General features: G+C 39.6%; 1 protein-coding gene and 2 long non-coding RNA genes across 14 annotated transcripts in view, besides 2 other annotated features; 1 reads left to right on the forward strand and 2 right to left on the reverse strand.

The window, feature by feature from the left end:
* The window catches only part of GASK1B (golgi associated kinase 1B), a 48552-nt gene extending 37179 nt beyond the window's left edge, over positions 1 to 11373 (reverse strand). Inside the window, exons 1-3 of one of the 6 annotated variants that reach the window (NM_001031700.3) lie at positions 11216 to 11373; positions 8814 to 9947; positions 8595 to 8695 (exon numbers count right to left, since the gene is read on the reverse strand). In NM_001031700.3, coding sequence (NP_001026870.2) covers positions 8595 to 8695; positions 8814 to 9723 — 1011 coding nt within the window. In that variant the 5' untranslated portion in view covers positions 9724 to 9947; positions 11216 to 11373. Of the gene's footprint in view, positions 1 to 8594; positions 8696 to 8813; positions 9948 to 10682; positions 10722 to 11215 lie in introns of those variants that run through there. The other 5 variants (XM_047415765.1, XM_024454079.2, NM_001128424.2 and 2 more) reach the window with 5 other exon arrangements.
* Positions 8856 to 9376: an enhancer, noted in NCBI's record as "H3K27ac-H3K4me1 hESC enhancer chr4:159091660-159092180 (GRCh37/hg19 assembly coordinates)". NCBI's record gives its function as "activates a minimal SCP1, AML or CMV promoter by ChIP-STARR-seq in naive H9 embryonic stem cells {active_cell/tissue: H9 hESC(naive)}" and the evidence as "EXISTENCE:reporter gene assay evidence [ECO:0000049][PMID:30033119]".
* The window catches only part of GASK1B-AS1 (GASK1B antisense RNA 1), a 32126-nt gene continuing 20320 nt past the window's right edge, over positions 9100 to 20905 (forward strand). For 2 of the 4 annotated variants that reach the window (NR_147410.1, NR_147409.1), the window contains exons 1-2: positions 9100 to 9828; positions 18009 to 18083. This is a non-coding gene — a long non-coding RNA (GASK1B antisense RNA 1). Of the gene's footprint in view, positions 9829 to 10599; positions 10765 to 15259; positions 15395 to 18008; positions 18084 to 20905 lie in introns of all 4 variants that reach the window. The other 2 variants (NR_147407.1, NR_147408.1) reach the window with 2 other exon arrangements.
* Positions 9550 to 10749: an enhancer, noted in NCBI's record as "BRD4-independent group 4 enhancer chr4:159092354-159093553 (GRCh37/hg19 assembly coordinates)". NCBI's record gives its function as "activates an origin of replication core promoter dependent on BRD2, P300/CBP, MED14 and CDK7 cofactors, and independent of BRD4, by STARR-seq in HCT116 cells {active_cell/tissue: HCT116}" and the evidence as "EXISTENCE:reporter gene assay evidence [ECO:0000049][PMID:35650434]".
* LOC101928007 (uncharacterized) lies at positions 12036 to 20573 on the reverse strand. 4 transcript variants are annotated; one of them, XR_007058350.1, is made up of 4 exons: positions 20414 to 20573; positions 19208 to 19286; positions 12462 to 12614; positions 12036 to 12156 (listed from the first exon to the last, which is right to left on the reverse strand). It is a non-coding gene; the product is annotated as an uncharacterized LOC101928007 (long non-coding RNA). The 4 variants fall into 4 exon arrangements; XR_007058349.1 differs by lacking the exon at positions 12036 to 12156 and having other exon boundaries at positions 12328 to 12614; XR_001741910.2 differs by lacking the exons at positions 12036 to 12156; positions 12462 to 12614 and adding an exon at positions 16240 to 16744.

Here is a 20905-nt window from a genome sequence, read left to right on the forward strand (position 1 = left end):
TATTCCACTTTAAAAAACAGGAATCAAATTTGACTTCAGAGGGTGGTGATGATGTGGTCACTGTGCCAGACTCTACAATCACATTTTGCAGATGAAATCTTGGTCACATCAGGGTGACTCAGTCCTGGGCGATTTAGCCTTTGTTAATCCAGTTAAAGGAGCCACGAATTCCTGACCTCAGTGATCTTCTTACTTCTTACAGTGCAAAGCCCATGACATCACTCCCTTTCTTCAAACCCTTCAGCGACTCCCTATTTTCTGCAAGATAAAGTCCAGGCTCCTTGCAGGACATAAAACACACTCACTCTCCACTTACCACAGCTTAACTCACATCGTGCCCCTAAACCCTAATCTGTTGTTTTTCCGAACTATTTGCAATTTCCTGAACACACTCTGCTTTCACACGTTTTTCATAGTCTATTCTCTCTATACTTTCTGCACCCATCCCATCTCTCACACCACCCACAGTGACTTTTAAGAACCAGTTCTGGCATTACTTCTTCCAAAAGTATTTATAATTTCCCACTCAACCCCCTACATACACATTCTAGGTTAAATTCTCCCTCTCTGTGCCTACAGGGCCTCCTAAAAATATCTCCATTGAGGTTTTTATCACACATTTTTTGTAAGGTAGGTTTGCTTCACTGTCTCCTGTCTTCCAAGCTGAGAGCTCTGAAGAACAGAGACTACTTCTTAGTCCTCTGGATCTCCAACTTTTGATGCAGTGTCTAGAACAAAGCAAGCACTCAAAAATTCTGAGTGCATTTTTTCAGAATCCCCCAATGTTCATGGATAGCTCTTAGAGTCTAAGGAATGGTCCATGGACCCAGAATAAAAATTTGCCTGGCATGACATCCTAGTAAGGTGTAATTTCACTGTCTTCACTCAATACGAATTGGGAAGGATTAGAGAAACACTTGAGACATAGAGACAGGGATGTGCAGAGGTTTTGATGCCCTCATTCTGTCCAGCTTGTGCTCAACTATCCACTCCCATGTATCTCTTATATACTGGGACGATGAAAATAGGGGTGGTGGAAACACTACTGCCTCTCTCCTTCTGACCCCAGATCACTATCATGAAAAGGGGAACAGTTAGGCATCATGGCTACATTCAGGGATCAGGCGACAAGGCAATGGGAAAAGTGGTTGCAATCTGGATGGATGATTAACTGGGAAAGCCCCATGCTACAGTCATTGGACGCTCACACATGATGTGAAGGGATAGCGGGAGGCAGTAAGGCACAGCTTTGAGGAATGAGGCTGAGTCCTCTTGACCCATGTCTGTATCCCAGCCCTACTGCACGCTACCTGTAGGCTTTCAGGGAACATATATTATTCTTTCATCCTCAGTTTCCCCTCAGGAAATGTGTACAAGATTATCTGATGTAGGGGACTGTTGTGACATTTAATAAGATAATGGATGCAAACTGCCTAGCACTCCACAAATAAGAGATCTCGTTATTATCCACTATAAGCTCCAAGGTCCTTCTTTAAATGAAAATTTTAGGTGCCCATTTATTCTACTCAAGTAAACATCAATCTGGATAAACCAACTAAGAAAATCTAAAGAAGCATATCATAAAGAGCTACATCAGCTTAGAAATGGTATGAAAAAGGTAGCACTCAAGAGTGTTAGCTGGGCACAGTGGCTCACGCCTGTAATCCCAGCACTTTGGGAAACCAAGGCAGGTGGATCACGAGGTCAGGAGTTTGAGACCAGCCTAGCCAACATGGTGAAACCCTGTCTCTACTAAAAATGCAAAGATTAGCCGGGCGTGGTGACAGGCACCTGTAATCCCAGTTACTCAGGAGGCTGAGGCAAGAGAATTGCTCGAACCCAGGAGGCAGAGGTTGCAGTGAGCTGAGATCACAGCACTGCACTCCAGCCTGGACGACAGAGCAAGACTCTGTCTCAGAAAAAAAAAAAAAAAGAGTGTTAGTATGCGTTAAGCAATGTTATATTTTATACATATTAACTCATTTCATTCTCATGACAACTCTAAGGTAAGTAATGTTATCATCATTGTTTTTATTGTCATTATCCCTATTATGCTAATAAAATATAAAGCACAAAAATATTAAGTAACTTATCCCAGGTCACCTAGCTAGCAAGTGGCAGAATCAGAATTCACCTGCAAGGAGTCTACATTGCCCGTCCACACCCCCAAACACAAAGCTATTTAAATTACAAACTGTACCACTTTTCCCTAGTATCCGGGGCAGTGCCTCACACATAAAAATGCTACTGAATTGAATTGATTACAAACACATTGGAACTGTAACAATTCTTTTTTAACTTAGGTAAAAAGAGCTATCTAGCACTCCTGCACCTGTGTGGTCCTTACATCAACTCAGAGACAGCAGCAGATTCACTCCCACTGAAGAGCCCACCTCCTTGAGCTTGGGAAGGTTCTTAGTGAATCCTCACATCGGTGACTGGAAGATTTCCTCCAGAACACTGAACTCACACATGGCCCTCTAGTGTCAGTGCCACGAGAGCAGAGATTCCTGACCGTTTTGTTCACTGATGCAGCCCCAGTGACTAGAATAGTGGCTAGCACATAGTAGATGCTCAATAAATACATGTTAAAGGAAGAAAAGATAAATGTGATCCTATAGAAGACGATAGATTGCATGGAGTTAAGGCACATGCATCTTTTATGCTGTGGGTACTGTGGTAACCATTAATCACCCCTTTTATCCCAGCAGAGTGTGGGACCAAGGACAAATTACAGAAGCACAGCAGAGAAGGTTGCCCGGTTCCCCGTTTGCCTATGAAGTTATGTAGTGAGCAAATAAGAGGACACTGGAGCACAGCGCTGCTTAGAGCCGAGGCTCAGTAAACTTTTGTTCACTGATGAATGAATGTATTAAGCTGACCAGCTCAATTTGATTCATAAAGAAATAGCCTTAGGGCTTTTCTGAGGAAGAACACAACATACTTTCAATCCAACTTTTTAAAAAATAAAACATGATTACACACTCCTAAATAAATATTTTCAGAAAGTTTGCCTATATGTCAAAGATTTCTAGGATTTGGAAGCCAGTATGTTCGCAAGTTGTGAGGACATCTGTGTTATTCTCAACACTCCCTGCAAAACGACTGTGTCCTTACCTGAAAGCCTGAAACAATATAAAATGCAAAGCTGACATCCCCCTGCCTCGGCAACTGCACTTTCACCCAGAACTCACAGTGCTGCTCACATAGGCTTGAAAAGAGAGTGAAAAACATACCATATATTTCTCCTACTTTATAATACGAAGAGGCAATACAAGTTGGAAAACAGTGAGCAACTTGGGATCTACAATGAATTTAAATGGAAGTGTGTGGGGTGCCTGCAGTTTGTCAACTAAGCAGCATTGACATACAGAATTCTTGGAACTAGGCTACCTTAATTCAGTCTGACAGCTTTGTGGCAATAAAACAGCATCCTAAAAATAAAGCATACATAATACATCTTCCATGCTGGGCATGAAAAATAGTACAATGCTTAAATGCTACCAAAATGGTGTCCCTCGAGATTCATTCACACTACTGTGCAGACTACAGGGGAAGCTCTGGCAAAGCTGCTAAATCAAAGATCACAGAACGGTGCTTGGTTTTCTCTTTTTTTATTTTCTTGATTTTTACATGGACATAGTCTGCTTTGTCTAATGCTAGATAAATACTTTAGGATATTTTCACTTTTTAAATTATCGAAATGTATCAGGACCACACAGTATCTGGTGACTTTTATAATAATTTGAGACTCTTGCAAGGACAATTTGGCAGAAAACAAATATGTTCATCACATTGATACACATGTGATTGTTTATGGTAAACAAGAAAATCTGGTAAGCACTGGCACCTTGGTTTGCATTAAAAAAACTTGTAGCAGTGTTCATAATGATACATCAATACTGCACTTGAGTAAAAATATTGTCAATGTTAGATTATTGAATAGAAAAAAGAAATTAAATAGAAATGTTGGCATAGTGGTAAAATCAGAAACCATCATGCTAAAATTTGCACATTTTTGACATTATCCCATAATTGTAGTAAGTTATATTTGTGAGGTAGTGTGGGTTAACAGAAGCAACGTGAGGAAACTTCAGTGTCAGAGACAGAATTGGGCACAAATTCCAATTTCATTGCTCTCTAGGTAGGTGACGTAGGGCACATTTTATAAGCTCACTGAGCCTCAGGATTCCCCTATTTAAAATAAGAGTAATATCTGCTATGTAAAATTGTTAGGTATGTATAATAGACAACACACATCAAATACAGTGTGTATACTATGTGATACATCACACTAGATTCTTTGTCACAATTGAAAAATACTTCATTATTGCACACAAACATTTTAAGGCCCTTTGATGCTATATTTTAATTCATTTTAAGACTTCCTACACAGAAACATACAGGACGAAAATCTGCTCCAGTGGTAACTGCTGGATCTTATATTGTGGCACACTGCTGGCTCTGCCTAATTAATTACTATCTTGCCCTTCCTCAAGTGCACCCTTCTCATTTTCTAGGATATCTTGGAGCATAACCTGTCAGAAAATAGTCTGTTATAAAGTACAATACCAGTAAGTCCACTAATTTCACACATCTTTTTGTATTTAAGAAGAATCATCTAGAACTCATCAAGTCACACAATCAAGATCTTGTCCCAGATTAAACTGAGCTAGCTGATTGGATCACCCACACCAGTCCTGCCAATTTAGAAAAAACCTAAAGATGAGCTTTATAATTGGAACTCTTTGTCATTTGATTAAATCAACAGAGAGCTTTATCTGAAAGGCTGGGGCAGGCAGATCATTCAAATCACAGCATTTGATTCCTTCTTACACCTCCCTTTTCACATCACATATCCATTTCATAATTACTTTGGGCCTCAACTTCCATATTTGTTAAATGTTTGTAAGAGTCCCCAGGCATAATGACATCTGGGTGCAGCTGGTAGAATTTGTATGAGGATTTAATGAAATAATGCAAGCACAGTACTTAGAATGGTACCTGGTATATATATCTAGGAAAACTCAATAACTCTTAGCCATGGTTAAGGTTTTTTTGTCTCCTTGAGGAAAAAAAGGAGGTTCCCATGGCTATATCTGTGCATCAGTGTATAAGTCATCTGTTTCATTATATTTATATATTTAGTTATTTATAACTAAACTTTCTAGTAGGCTGTGGTGATAGAGAAAGACGATGTACCTTAGGGCCCCCTAAAGGATTTGTTGAGGGACGCAGATTTATGAAAAGAGAAAAGACTGGAAGTTAGAAGACAAAAATTTTTGCTGGACAACTAACTCATCACATGACCTTGAGCAGTCTTCTTGCCTTTCTTTCATCTCTAAAATGAGGTTTAAAAAGTCTACTGCATAGGATTCTCAGAAAAATTAACTAAGACAACTTAAATATCTAAATTCAACTTGCAACACAGACTAACCACTTTCTTGGTGCCAGATATAAATTTATTTTTATAAACATTAATCAAAAGTCAGAACAGAAACAACATTTAGGGTAGATTACTTACAGGCTTTGCTGGCTTCTCACTCTCTCAAATATTAAAAGATCTACTCCCAGACCAAGCCAGGTCATCAGAGAAATATATACCTAAATTAAATCCTATTGTTCCTCCTGCAGAAAACTCATTATCGAATTACACTAGAGTGTGATGCCAACACACCACACTGATAGTTCTCACAAGAATAAGCCCTGTAAACCTTTCATTTGCATTGTAAGGAGGCTACCAAAAACATTTTTTATTACCTCCACAATGAATTCCTTATGAGATCCTCCAGGAGAAAGCCCAGCCTGGACTTAAGACTAAAAATGTTATTACACGTCCTAAGTATTAGAAGCTGGTGGCTTCCAGTATAGTTTTACTGTTTAGAGTCCAAGGAACAAGCAATGAACGCATTCCTTCATTCATTCAAAATATTTATTGAGCATCTACTATGGGCCAGACTCTCTGCTAAGATCCAGAAATGCAATTCTAAAGAAAACAGGAAGTATCTTTGCCTTCACTGACCTAGAGAGTAGTGGGAAGGAACAGATGATTAAATAAATGATTATAATACAAATATGTATTATATAATATAATGATATAGAGCAAGCTGAAAAAGATGCTGGGTAACTAGGTAAGATCTGTTGCCTCCCTGGGTGGGCTGCAAGGCTCAAATAAAGTCAAACTCTGACCAACAGAATAGCAGTGCCCTAGAAGAAAGCTACACGCTTCCGTGGAAATCAGGGAAGAAAGACACAGTGAGAAAAAGACTAGAAATAGGTGGATGGGTAGAGATACTGAGAACCTAATGCTGTCTATACCATGACCAGAAGTGGTCTATTTATGTACTTTGCAACACTGTAACAGTCTGCTTGAGTAGAATTACATTGTGTAGAGTATTCATAACTATATGAAATCATTTCATGAGCCCCTGGAGAAACTGGCCTGACTTTGTGACTCTAAATGACTAAGTAGAAGAAGGTATCAAAGACAGAATGTTGTTTGAGATATAATCTTAGGGATTTTATTTATTAAATTGAGTCATATTAGTATAGCTTTATTAGTTTATTTCCATCACCACTACCATATGAAAGGAGAGAGAAATATCCAGGCTATATTGAGATCATAAACCCCGCCTTCAAATGAATTTTTGTTCTCAAAGATGCTGGAAATTCAGAGCAAAGAATTAAATATCTAAGAGGGATTGGGATTACAAAAGTTTAATTGAGCAGTTTTAGTCATAGTCCTATCACGTAACGAAGTAACACATGAGACTTGGAGATTATGTGAGGAATTCAATGAACTTGGTACCTCATGTGCTTGGTACAATAATAATAATAATAACCAATATTTATTGAAGGTTTATCTTGTGGCAAATACTGGTTCTAAGTGTTTTCCCTGTATTAACTAACAACAATCTCATATGGTAGGCAGTATTGTCATTTTACAGCTGAGGAAACTGAGGCATAAAGAGACATGGCAACATTTCCAAGTCGTATGATTGGTAAGTTCAAACCTAGTCAGTCCAACTCCACGGCCCAGGCTCTTAGCCACTACTGCATTCTCCCAATACAGTAGTCTAAGAGCGTCTAAGGGAAGCTCAAAGGACATATCAGAGAACTCTGCCTCAGGATATACACAGGAGTTCATCTTCTCCTCTCTGGGGCCTTTATGACATGAAAATGAATGGGATTTCAGCATAACAAGGGGGATCCTGTGCTCTACTCTGCTCAGAACAGTCAGTGTGGGCCTGTTGTCCCAATGCCCACCAGCATCTCCTTTCACGCCACACGGTTCCAGTTTGGATAATAAGTTACATATTCACCTAAGTCCAGTGGCTAAGAAGTTATGTTCTGAAGTTTGCTGGGTCTATAGTCAAAACCCAGCTTAGCCACCTACTAGCTGTGGGAGTTGAGGCCAATTACTTTGTCTCAATAAGCCTCAATTTTCTCATCTACTAAATGGAAATAATAATAGTCCCCACTTCATAGCATTGTTATGAAAATTCTAGGAGCCAACACATATGAATCAATTTGTATAATCCTTAGCAAATTGTGGGCACCCAATAAAAATTCATTTTTATCAACATTAGATTAAATGTTTGAGAAGGTTTCTTACATTGGCATAACTGTGGTGGACTGCTTTATAAACTTGAGACATCAAAGCATACCTGTGAATCTGGAGCACTTAGACAAGAACCACCATCAGTAGGGAATGTCCAATTTTTCTAAGTAAATCACTGGTACTTCCAGGGGTATCCATTTTAAAATGAAATTATAATGCTAAAGCCATTGGAAATGCAGTTGGGTCTCAGCCACTCCCAGGGATTTTAATCCATTCCATTCTAGGCTCCCTGGGAACCTCACTGAAATGCTAAATTTCATGGTAACATGGAGAAAGTTAAGTATCCTTTCAGCTTATAATCTCTTTGGGGTACATTTTAGCCTCTTGGGCCAATCTGGATTCAAAGTTGTAACTTCTGGCATCATTCTGCATTCAAACATAAGCCACTGACTCACTGTACTTTGTATTCGAGCCCTGGAATAGCTTTAATATTCAGAGAATATCCTTTATATGGCATGGGCATGACCGCAGACCAGTCCTTTTGCTGGCAACTGCAGTAACTGGCTACATGTGTTAGAACCTGCCAAAATGTTTGTCACCCAAGACGGGAGAATCTTGAAAGACAGACTCAATAGATCATAGTCAGGGGCTTGATAAAACCACACAGCTAGTTAGTATACATACTGAACAAATCACCAATTTTTGCTCATTCTTTTTATTTGTTAAATAAAGAGGTTAAATCCATTGAAAAAAAAAGGGGGGGTTAAACCTAACATGGTCTGGCTCTGCGCGGCTTAAGAAGATTCCATCTGCTCAAGAACGATAACCCGCTTCCCCCTTACTTTTAAAAACTTCTACTTCCTCCCATAGTAACCTATTTAATAGTATGCCTGACTGTCAGCAAGTTCTTTGCCTCCAGCCTAGCTTCCTCTCCTCATCATGCAAATTGCCGTTGGCTTTAATTAGATTTAATAAGCCACTGGGAAGTGAAGCGAGGGAAATGGAGAGCAAAGATTATACAGTATGGGCTTACTCTTGCATGTCCAATACAGCATTTCCCTGGAACTCTCATATCCTCCCAGGCTGGGAAAATAAAGAATGCCAAGCGCATGGAAAGACACGCTGCTGCTGCTGCTGTCCAAATGTGAACCGTGGGTGGAGAAAAATCATTTAGAAAAAGAGAGTGAGGGAAAAAAGAAAATGAACCAGAATCCCCAACAGCTGCAAATAACGAAGCATGTGAATCTGTTACCTTGGATGAACTCTGCTTTCCTGCTCACAGACGGCAGGGTCCTGTTGAGCCCCAGGATCCTGTCTAGGTGGAAGGCAAACACCTCACTCATGTCCAAGGGCTGCTTGAGAAGCCCACAGGGGCTAGGGCCACAGCGGAGCACAGCGCCAGGTGCGCCCCCCTCCAGCACCAGCAAACGGGCTCCGCTCCTAGAGGACACAGGCCGGAGCCCTGCCACTGCGCTGTCCGCCAAGAGTCGCATTCTTCGGATGTCATCTTTGCTCAGCCAGGAGGGGGCGCTCTCGCTGTAGATCCTAATGTTGCTCTCCCTGGAGCTGGGCTGCAGGAAGTCTGGGCCCCCGGCTCGCACTCCCGGACCCCGCACCAACCTCCAGGGTCGCTCTCCAATCTTAACCAGGTTTGCTCCCTGAGCGTACCCAGGTGCTACAGCATCAGCTTCCCTTGCCGCTTCCTGCGGCTGAAGGGATGGTCCGACCAAAGCCTCCTGCCCTGGGGCAGCCGATGCCACTGCATGCTTTTTCCTGCGCTTGGGCTTCACGGTGCCACGGATATTGGCCGGCTTGCTGCGCTTGGAGCGTAGGGTAATGTACACCACATTGGGCTGCAGAGTGGACCCATTGCCCTGGGACTCTGGAGGGGCCAGGGTACCATCCAGGGGTATCTCAGGGAAGGATGGCTCGGCGGTGTCGCGGCTGCGATGTGGCCCCTTCTCAGCCGCCTGTCCATGCTGGAGAGAGGCCCTCCCCACCTGGCTCACCAGGAAGCCCAAGTAGATGGCACACGCAGTGCCCAGCAGAAGGTTTCTCCGGGTCCTTGGACGCCGGCTGCTCCAGAGCTTACGCACCCGCGGGACGCACAGGGAGCAGATGAACCAGTTTATGAGCTGCCCCGGCTTGTCTGGACAGGTCATTTCTCTGCCGCATCCACATGTTGAACGGAGTTTAAAGTCTGCAGTTGGCTCCTGCTAATGTGATGCATGGTTTCCTGACTTCAGCTGCCGCGTCCGCTTCGGGATATAAGTGGTCTCCAGTGGGCAGAGGTGGAAGGAAAGGGTTGGTGATGAAGCTGGGAATGTTTCTGACACAACAAACCTTTTAAATTATCAGTCTCCCCAAGGAGAAATGCGGCTTGTTTCTGGGAATGAATGGATACAGAGTTAACTGAGTCACAATTTCAAACCATTTAAGTTCCTCTACAAGAGTCAAGAAAAAAAGTAATCATTTCCTTTCATAAATATCACCACTAAATGTTTTTAAAAATAAAATTTAAAAGCATGCAAACGAGATAGATGTATAGATTTGATAGTCACTTGAAAGTAGTGAAAACAAGCCACAAAAATCCAAGAGTGTTTTATAACTTGTACCTAGAGTCATTTAAGTTGACTCTGAAGCAAAAGCGTTAAAATGTGACAAACCTGGGCTTTTCCTTTTTGAAATTCAGAAAGAACTTAAGACAAGTAATAGATAATTTTTTAATACTCTATACCTATACCATTTTTATTTTTTAAAGTCCTGAATTAACTAAGTACAAGCAGCAAGTATTAACAATAAAATTTAGAAACATATTCTCTTAGTCTAAAGGTACAAATTGTACTTCATATTAATAATATGTTCCATTAGCTTACATTGTTAGTATAATACAAAGCCATAAATGTCCATATATCTTGGAAGCAGTTGCATTTATTCTGTTTCTCTCTCTCTCTCTCTTTCTCTCTCTCTCACACACATACACACACACAACACAACACAACTCTGACTGCTTTTTATTTCTTTTCTTTCCACCGAAGTCAGCTGAAAGAAAATAAAAGCATCTCTAGTTCTGTTTTTTCACTATTAAAAAGAAAAAGAAGAAACTCGTAAGCAACCTTACTTACACAGCTGGCCCCATGCTTGGCTCCAGGAAGAATGTAATCCTTGACTCTAATGCAAAGAACTTTTAAAGGCTGAGGCATGTAAGTAGAACATATTTCATGGTCAAGAGTGTTCCACATTTCAAACATTTCAGTTCAGCTTTAAAAGCTCCCTTGAAAACTACTGATTGCAAAGCAAAACTTGGAAACTGACTGCTGCATGGTTTTAAGAGATACAAAGCTTTTAAAAACAATAGTTAACAAAATAAACTTTAATTTTAAATTCGGAAAAAAGAAATGCCGTAGAGAATCAGTTTTCATTCAAATAAATTTCCACTTATTTTTAACCCCTGGGAGCCCTCTAGTGTCCTGTTCGCAAACAGACTCAGAAATGTCAGTCTCATGAAGTTCAAAAGATCGAGAATGTTTGCTATCTTGGTGGAGCAGCCGCAGCCAAGCAAGTAACTTGTAAAATGAGGAATGCCATCACCCCTCGAGTGTCCATCCCACATAACTTGGGGTTAGAGCACAAGCGTTCCCAGGAACTACTCACCTTACCATCTTGGCCGTTTCATTTGTCTTCCACCAGTTCTGGAAAGAGAAGGCCTAGAAGTTCAGAAAAAAAGGTAAGAAAGAGTTAATATAAATGAGGAGAAAAAATAGAACAGTGAGATAAGAGTACACACAGATAAGGAAAGACATTTATAGTGTGCAATTGCACGGTGCAACAGTTCACAAAAGGAAGTCGTGGATTCTCTCTGATTGGAGGTTTTTTGAAAAAACAGGTTAGGGATTGGCCTGGGTGGTTTGCGTGTCCTAGCACAAAGGCAGGGGCTGATGACCTTGGGGTGTCAATTAGACTATGGCAAATAGAATCAAAAGGCAAGAAGACAGAAAGGGGACAGGGATTTTTCCTCCCCACAGAGAAAGAAAGTTGTGATACTGAAGAGTGGGTAAAAGATTAGCATATGGTGTATAATCCTAAAAATACTATATTTTACAATGCAAAAAGAGCAAGGAGTTGGAATATATAGGGAAGGAGAGAATAAACGTCCAAGTGGTAAATTGACAAAAATTATAATCGGGCTGTTATTTCAGCACTCTAAACTCAGTCCTTTTTTCCTCTTTAAAAGTCCTGCCACATGGAGGAATGAGAAGGAGCAATCCCAATATTGACAGTAGCCTGGAAGTACCTGGATATTTTGGCTAAACTTTGTGAGAATTCAGGCATCAAAACAATTTTATCTGCACTCAAAAACTCTTAGGCACACACTTCCATACACACAGAATTATTTTCTTGATAGAAAATGTGAACTTCTTGCAAGGAAACCATACCAAAGCTGCATTTTATAACCATCTTATTATTTCCACAGTCAAAGGAATAACTGACCTGGCTCTATAACAATTAAAAGTAAGCCTTTGGCAGAGGCCAGTTATAATAAGCAGACATCTCCTCTAGCTGTTTTTAGAGCTATTTTTTTCATGGAGAAATGCCTACGAGATAGGGAGAGTTGTGTGAGTTAGTAAATTTCGTTGACTACCTTCCCACCCCCACTCCAAAAATGTCTCCTAGAAAAAGAACAATACACTGTCCCCTGCTATAGCCACAATAGGGATTCGTGGAGGCTACACTATCTACTCTGAACTATGATATTCAGAGAATGGGCTGAAGAGGGAGGCAGACTGGCTTTAAATTCTCCTCATTTACCTCTTACGTGTGGTCCCCTGTGGCAAGTAATCTTACCTCTCTAAGCCTCAGTTTCCCCCATGTGTAAGAAAAGAAAAATAATAGCACTTACCCTATCGGTTTCTTCTGATGACTGAATGAGATAGCAGCCTTGGAATGATCATTTGAAATATTCAGCAATGTGTTTGTTTTTATCCCCCATGATGCCTCATTAAACTGCTCAGAGGCCTCTCTCCTCAGCCCAGGCCTTGACAGATAGTCACCACTGCACCACAGCAAAGCAATCATGGTAGAATTGAGGACAAGCACACTGAATTATTTGTAGCCAACATATTGATATAGCCAATACAGTGGATAAATGGGGCTTGTCAGATATAATCAGAGCACAATTTTAGTGATTCCCCCCACTGCCCATTGAAACCTGTTCTGTGGCCTGATATCTCTTTTCAACTTTCTTAAATGGAAACTCAGGCAGTCCCCATGACTTTTCCAGTCATACTTAAATTTTTGTAAAAGTTCTCCAGTTGTTAGCCATAGACATACAGACACATAATACACATAAACTAATTAATATGTTTGATTCTATATCACAGTCAATTTCTTTAAAAATTTCTTTTAAATTCCCAGAATTTCTCCAGAAGATAGCAGTCCCTCAAAAAGCATAGCCAAAATCTACTGAAAAGGGACAGAGGAGACCCATCTTACATTCTTTTTTGTTCCTGCCTAGAGCTCTTATTCCTTAACCACTCACCCAGCCGCTCACCCCACTTTGAGCCTGGCTCTGGCTGTTCCAAGGTAGTGGAGAGAGAGAAGCAATAATAGCAGAAATGGCCTTGCTACTCCATTGATACTGCTGCAAATTGACTTATAAGCTCTCCAGGTTTGGCAGGTGTGTAAAGCTGACTCTGAGATAGTTAATTCAAAGACACCACTATCAAAGCATCTCTCTAGCTGGCTGTTGATGGCCCCTTAGTCCCTTGGAACTTGGTAGCCCCCTGTTCTGTTGAGATCACCTCATCTCTCCAGGCTGTTCTCTTAGGCAGCATTTAAGCTGACCTGCAGGCTGGTTTTCTAACTTGGGCCTCTGTGTACTGCCCCACAAGTGATCCAGTGGACATGGTCACCATCATTTGCTCCAGCAACCTCAGACTTCCCAATGCAGCAACCCACCTCCCTTAGCACTGCGGATCCATATCTCATTTTCGAATGTGGAAGCAATTGCCATCAATTGCTCATGGTCTCTGTTGAAACTGAATGGAAAGGTGTTTTTTGCCATCAGGTAGCATGGGAAACAGAGAAGTTTAATTTAGTTTTAGAAAAATAAGGCTAAATTCCTTGAACAAGCGTTAGCTTGAAAATTTGTTGCCACAATATAACATTCGTGTATAACTTACAATATAATCTGTGAGTGAACATATAGAACTCAAAGTATTCATTATTATTAATATTATTAGATCAGAGAGACAAATAATTCTCATGCCTAAAGTACTTTCTCTTCTTAAAAAACAATGAGAGAAATAAAGTGAAAAAGTAGACAGTAAGATAATGGTAGGGACCATCGGAATTACCTGAGGACTTTTTATATCTTTATGGAGGGGCAAGGATGGTGATGGAGAAAAAACATGAGCAAAGCAGGATTGTGGGAATGTTCTGTTTCTTCATTTAGATGGGATTTACCTAAGTATGTTTATTTTGGGATAACACATTGACTATACATTTGTGATTTCTGTACTTTTCCATATTTATATATATCTTATCCTTCAATCAAATTGGAAAAGGTGGTACATAAATAGCTATTTATTTTATATTCTTTATACCTTGTATATATGTTATAAATCTACATAGGAGAGTAGAACAAATAATTTGTTTACAATAAAAAACGCATATTACTTCAGTCATTTAAAAATTAAGTTTAAATATTAAAGAACAGTAAAATCCCTGAAAATTTTAAAAATATATGAGTGTCTAGACCCCATCCATCTTCCCAGAGATTCTAAATGATCTAAAGTAGGGCCCAGGAATCCACAGTTTTAAAAGCTTCTAATGTGCAGAGTTATAATTCACTGTACTATGAGTTAAATACTTAGTTCTAGGAGCAAGTTAACACCTTTTTACAATTAAATGATGTCTTAGGTTTCACTGGCAATGAAGTAATCCGTAAATCCTTCAAGGCTTCCAATAGTAAGATCCTAGTTTGGTAAAGGCTATTTGCCTTCAGTCTGGGACAACTCCTGGACCAGATTAGATAGTGAATCGGGCCTCATTCTTCCACCCACAGCACTCTCATTTCCCCCATTCCTGTCAGGTGTGTCACTTGCTGTGACTGTGTGGCAGCTTGCCCATCTCCTGAGAGCCCTTGGGAAAGTGAAGGACAATATATAAGGACTCCAATCACTTAAAAGCTAAGTATTAAGTTTTTCCTTGCCACTGCTGACCCAGGTTTGTTGCATAGATTGCAGACCTGGAGATGGATACCTTGTTCTTGGTTCAGTGCTGCACAGACTCCTCCACTGGGGGACCCTATCCCTTGCTCCTCATAGTCCTGATTTCTAGGACCCATAACCCTATTATAATTAAAATCCCAGCATTAGCATAGGTTCCTGGCTACAACCTTTGTCCTACTTATTGTATGGAATTTGCTAATACCTTTGCTATCCATTCCAACACCAGGCCTGGACAGCACCAAGCTGCCCTGCCTGCAGCTGAAAAACTTTTAACTTAATAGTCTTTGAAGTTTTGTCATAGAAGTGTTAAATAGTACTCTATACTGTATCTGTCTTTTGAACTGTATGTAAAAGAAGTTACATTGAATATATTTTATAGAAATATGTGCACTTTTTATCTGGCACTTTATTGCTCACCCCTAAGGACATCATTCCTGTTGACCTAAACTAGTACATCTATTTGCAGTAGGAAAAGTGCTTTTGGAGAAAATCACCTGTCTCCTCAGAACTGGTCTTACAAGTCTGTGAAGTAACACTATGTGCCAGCCTAATCACTCATATATGACCTCAAGAGAACACCAAATAAGCATATTTCCAGCAGGTAAAATGCCTGGCATTGCATTGTATTAGGTATTCTCTCCTCTGTCTACTATTATAACTTGCACCTTCCTCCAATTTCCTGGTATGGAAATCTCCTGCAATAATCCATTTGCCTCATTTCCCTAGGAACATTTGTTCCATTATTTGATGTTGTGTCTGTGTTAGAATGGTCCTGCCACATGACCAGAAGCTGGGCAATGTCTGCATGAACATACCATGATATGGTAAAGAGATAAAATGTACGACAGCCAATTTTGCATATATTTGAAATGATAGACATGTATAAAATTATTATTTCACTTCTTAATAATTAGATAATTTATGCAGATTAGAATAATTTGCATTTTTTTATAGTTCTAAAACCTGATAATTCATAGAGTTATCATGGAATAAAGTAAGAATTAGGAAAATTGGAGGTTGCCCTGGGTTTCTTCAAAAAGCCCCCACACAATCTAGACAACTAAGCTTCTCTATTTCAGAAATGGGCACTCAATGTCTCGATACTCTGCTCCATCTCTGTCCCCAGGGCACACACACAAAGGAGAAACCAGGACAGACACACTGGCTCTAGGTCATTCTTGGCATAGAACAACCTACGCAGCAGTAGTTTTCTGTGTTTGTAAAGGAGTAAAGATTGGATAAAACTGCTCAACCCTTGGGCTCCTTGCAGGAAACTAGCGGAGACCAACAAATTATTTTTTTCTCTCCTCACCTAAAGTATAGTTTATGTAAAAGAAAAAATTCTACAGAGTACATTTAAAGGAAGGGAAGGCCCCTGGCTTCACCAGATTAAATCTGGAATGTTAGAAATGCATTGGGATTATAAACAAACACCTTAAAGTGCAGGAGAAAATGTAGAGAGAAATTTGGAATCCTTTATTCATCTGTATCTGGTAGTTTTGCAACTGAGTTGGATCACCTACTATGATTCAGACATATATAGCATATCTGATACAATGTTGGGGTATGTAACTACATACACAAGTTTCAAGAATTGATAGCAAAACTGGATTGGAAAAGACAGACTGGGTTAATGTTACATACCCTACCCATTCACCCACGCCCACCTCCCCAATACTATGGATTCAAGCACCAGAAAAGAAGAACTACAGGAAGGCACTGATGGAGATATTTTCATACATTATTCTGTGCAATATCAAAGCATCAGCAGCCATTGGCTTGCAAGGTGAGGAAATATGATGCAGGGTCAGGGAGCATCTCATCCTCTCCATCACCTCTCCGGTATTGCAACTTCTGGAGCACAGGTGGGTAGCTCCCATGGTGTGTACTTCATGGTTACCATAGAAAGCAGCAACAGCAGCAGGTGCAGCAGTAAGTTACCCATAAGTAGCTGCACAGAGAGAAGACATCCATGGGAGAGGCTTGTGTGTGGTAACCAGAACTGCCTGGGTTATAAGTATATGAACTACAAGACTAGGCATCCCTAAGACACAATAAGTGCTTTTTGGAGCAGTGCTGGAGTTCTTGTTCTACACAGGAGAGGGTAAAAGTCAGTGCAGTTCAAGTCACTCCTGCCAAAGAATGCTTGGTAGCCATGGGCTAGTGAGACCTGGAGAAATGCACATTGCACAACAGTTTAAAATGTATTGAAGACCTACTCAATGCTTGTCACTAAAGCTGGATTCTGTGGGGAGTATGCAATGTCTAAGGCACTGCCTGGACATTAACTGAATGAACAAATGCATGAATGAATGAACATATTAAGATGGTAAAACACATCCCAAGGCCAGTGGTTCTCAAAGTGTGGCCCTGAACCAGCAGCATCAGCTTCACCTAGAAATTTGTTAGAAATGAAAATCCTCAAAACCCACCGGAGACTTATGGAATCGGAAACTGGAGGACAGTCTTGTTTCAATACAGATATTGAAACAAGCCCTCCAGGTGACTGCCCTAGTGAGAAGCCCCAAAAAGAATGGGGCAGGCCAGGAGGAAGACAGAAAGATGCCAAAAGAAGAAGGACAGAAAAGCAAAAAGTTGGGAGGTGATTCAAAACAATATTTGCAGTTTATTTAAGGTCGTTCTATTCCTTTTGCCGTCTTTATGAGAGTTCCATTTCCTTCCTGATATTTTACCCTTTGGATCAAAAACACAGAATGTGTTAACATCACATACCCTGCCCAGCCACCCACTCTCACCTACTCAGCTCTATAGATTCAAGCCCCTTCTCAAAGCAAGTTCACAGCATGTAGAAACCGGAAAAAGAAGGAATTTGAGAGAGACTACAGCTCACAGCCCATGGAATGAAAACCAGGAGCACCCATGGCTGGGTGTGGAGGGACTGCCTAAGGAAAAACACCAGAGAAAAATCAATCCTCAACAGCCCATCACCAGTTATGAATCCATAAAGACTCCTTTTATAGTAAAATCACACTGTTTTCCAAAAGGCAGTCATCGGGTTCCCATGGTCATGTAACCTGTAGCATAGCCAAAAATTATAAGCCTAAAAGCTTTTGGTTAGAAGCTTGGAATGGGTTCCGAAATAAAAAGATGAAAAGATACCAAGGAGTATAACACAGGAAAAAAAAATTGAATATTTTTATAAGAATGAACATGTCGTTCTCTAAATATAACACACTCCAATTATTTTTCCACAGGAAATGACCAGTGCTTTGGTTAAGAATGCACATTATACTGCAGTTCTTTGGGGAATGAAGCCACCCTTGACTGAGGTAATCATCAGTTCAAAGGCAACTCCTTGTTTTATCTTTGCACTAATTGCTTAGAGAAATAACCAGACAATATAATTTATGACAACAAATCTGCATTTAACTGAGTTAACGAATTTGTAAACAAAAAGATTCCTATCTCAGGTAGGTGCTTTTGGCAAGATATTTAATTTTGCCCAGTTTCCTCATCTGAAAAGCTAAGAGTATTATATCTAGTACACAGAACGGTTCTAATAATTAAATTGGATGCTATATGTAAAGCACTTAGCACAGTGCTCAATATACTGTAAGATGTAATTGCTCATTCATTATTTTCTCTTTTCTTGCAAGGATGATACTAATGGCTAGGCACTCTCTAAAGAGATGTAAGACACTGTTGGTAAGACTCCTTGATCAACACATGATTTCAGGTTCAAGAAAAAGTTGTATTATTAAGTTACTAATGCAGCAAATTATCCAGAATTTGCTTCACTATCTTCTTTTATACTTAACAAAAGACTTAAAATATAATCAGGACTGTAGTCTGCATGCTACTTTGGATTCAAATCTTTGGCAATTTTTGCCTTTGAAATTTAGAACTAGTCTATGGTAACCTATATGAGGCTATAATGAGGTAAGTCATGGCAATGTAATTGAAATGCGGGGTATCATAATTGAATACTTGTTTTACCTTTCTTAATAATGGCATCAATCTCATAGAGCTGGTGTGAGGATTAGATGAATTAATACATGCAAGCCCTTACCATGCCAAAAAAAAAAAAGTCAGCTTTGTCATTATCAGGTGGGGAAAGACAGACCTTAGAAATATTCATTTATCACGGTCAAAAGGAGATTCAGAGTTGGTCATGCCCATTTATACTTTGATCAAGGGAGAGGTCACCCAATTATTGAATGGATTTAGACAGTTCTCCTGGCAGGTATCTCCTTATTATGGAGAAACCTGTAATCGCTTATTAGAGACCGAAGTATTTGTTGTCATATCTTTAGACTCCTCTATTATTCAATTTTTTTCATTTAAAATATTTTTGGAGCAACTATCATGTGAGAGACATTGTGAAAACACTTTGGAAGTAGCAGTTAAAATGATATACAATGGCCTAGCAGTCAAGGGACTTACAGGATCCTACCTTCTAGGCTGGACTCCCTTCTCAAAATTTCATTTCTATCCTGTTCTCCACCTTCTTCCTCATCTGCCACCCTGAGAACCTGCCCAAACCAAACAGAAATGTCTAGTTTCAGGTCTCAATTCTTCCCATTCTATCTGTCTCAATATAATTAAGTAGACCATGCCTACTTACCTTAAATATGTCAATTCTAATCATGCTAAATTTGTCTACCAAGTGACAGTATTGGACTGCTTTGGGTAGTTTTATAGATAATTCATTTTCATTGATAAATAATTCACCTACCAATCTGTCATAAGTTTCAAACTGAACCAAAGCTTATTTTCACTTATTCAATTATTGAATCATGGAAAAAAAGACATTCTTCTTTTCGTTAAATAAGAAAAAATGCTTTACAATTAATTGAATTTCAGCTAACAGGTGGATAGATTTCTTTCTAAAATATATAGCTTTGTAAAATAAAAAAGTTTAATAAGTTGAGTTTGGAATTTCTGCAGCCAAAGCATATAAGTGTCTGAGAGGCTTGGTGAACATAAGTTCATCACGAAACATTTTTACTTCTTTTCAAGTTTTCCACAGAGAGCACAATTCAAAATTAAAATGTATAACTTTCTGTTTCAAGCAGTATATATTGTCAGGCTGGAAACTCTCAAAGGCCATCTTACCTAAAACCTAGACCCAGAATAAATAAGGAAAAAATGCATATAATCCATTGTTTACAAATTTCCTAAAAATGAAAGATTCTGAAATTTAAAACTTCCATAAATGACATCAAGGTATCTGCGGTTAATATTAGAAATCACAAGCATACAAAGAAAAAAAAAACACAAAGAGAGAGAGAATTTTTGGAATTATTTGAATCCAAACATAAATATAGATAGATAAATATAAACTGTTTAAAGGAAGACAAAGGGAACATGCAACAAAAGGTTTTAAAAATGATTGGGTACACATTAAAAAGAAATCTTAAAATAACATTTAGAAATGATAAAACTGTTCAAATTAAAATTCACTGGATAAAATGTTGGGCCCTGGAGTCAACAGTGTAGCTTACATTTAACTAAACCTCCTACCAAAAATAAGTTTAAAAATTGGAAAAATATATATATATAAACAATCTTCTGAAGGCATTGGAGAGCCAGTGCAAGTAATATTGAGCAGCTAAAATCCTTGAGAAAGGGAAGCACACAAGATGTATTCAACATTCACCTCGGAATTTTCCTGGGGGCATTTTCCAAGTTGTGGTGAAGGCGAAAAGAGCCCAAGAAGAAAGCAGGAGTTTCACACGTCAGAGGAGACAAAGTCTGGCGTTTCAGGACGCCAAAGGAGCTGTGATTTGAGGAGCAAACTATTGAAAAAGACAGGAAGCTAAGAGAGTGTCCCCAAATCTGCATCCTAATTTCCCTCAAATTGTGGGTAAATTTCTGACTTGTGCATGTACAAGGCAAGCCTTCAAGATATGTAGTGGGAAACAGCAAACAGAAAGCTTGAATGCTGAGCAGAGATTTCAGCAGCTGAATGGCACTGAGGAGTTAGAGATTAGAATTAAATCCAGAGGGAGCGTGCTAAACCTAGGTCCAGGACTTGGGCAAAGCTACTTTCTAAGATTAATGGTCACATCCTGTAAGTAGCAAATTAAAAAGGTCAAGTATAACAAAGCTTAAAACTAAGTCTCAACTGGATCAAAGTCATTCACTGAAG

The sequence above is a fragment of the Homo sapiens genome, chromosome 4 (genome assembly GCF_000001405.40).
Source record: "Homo sapiens chromosome 4, GRCh38.p14 Primary Assembly".
NCBI lineage: Eukaryota > Metazoa > Chordata > Mammalia > Primates > Hominidae > Homo > Homo sapiens.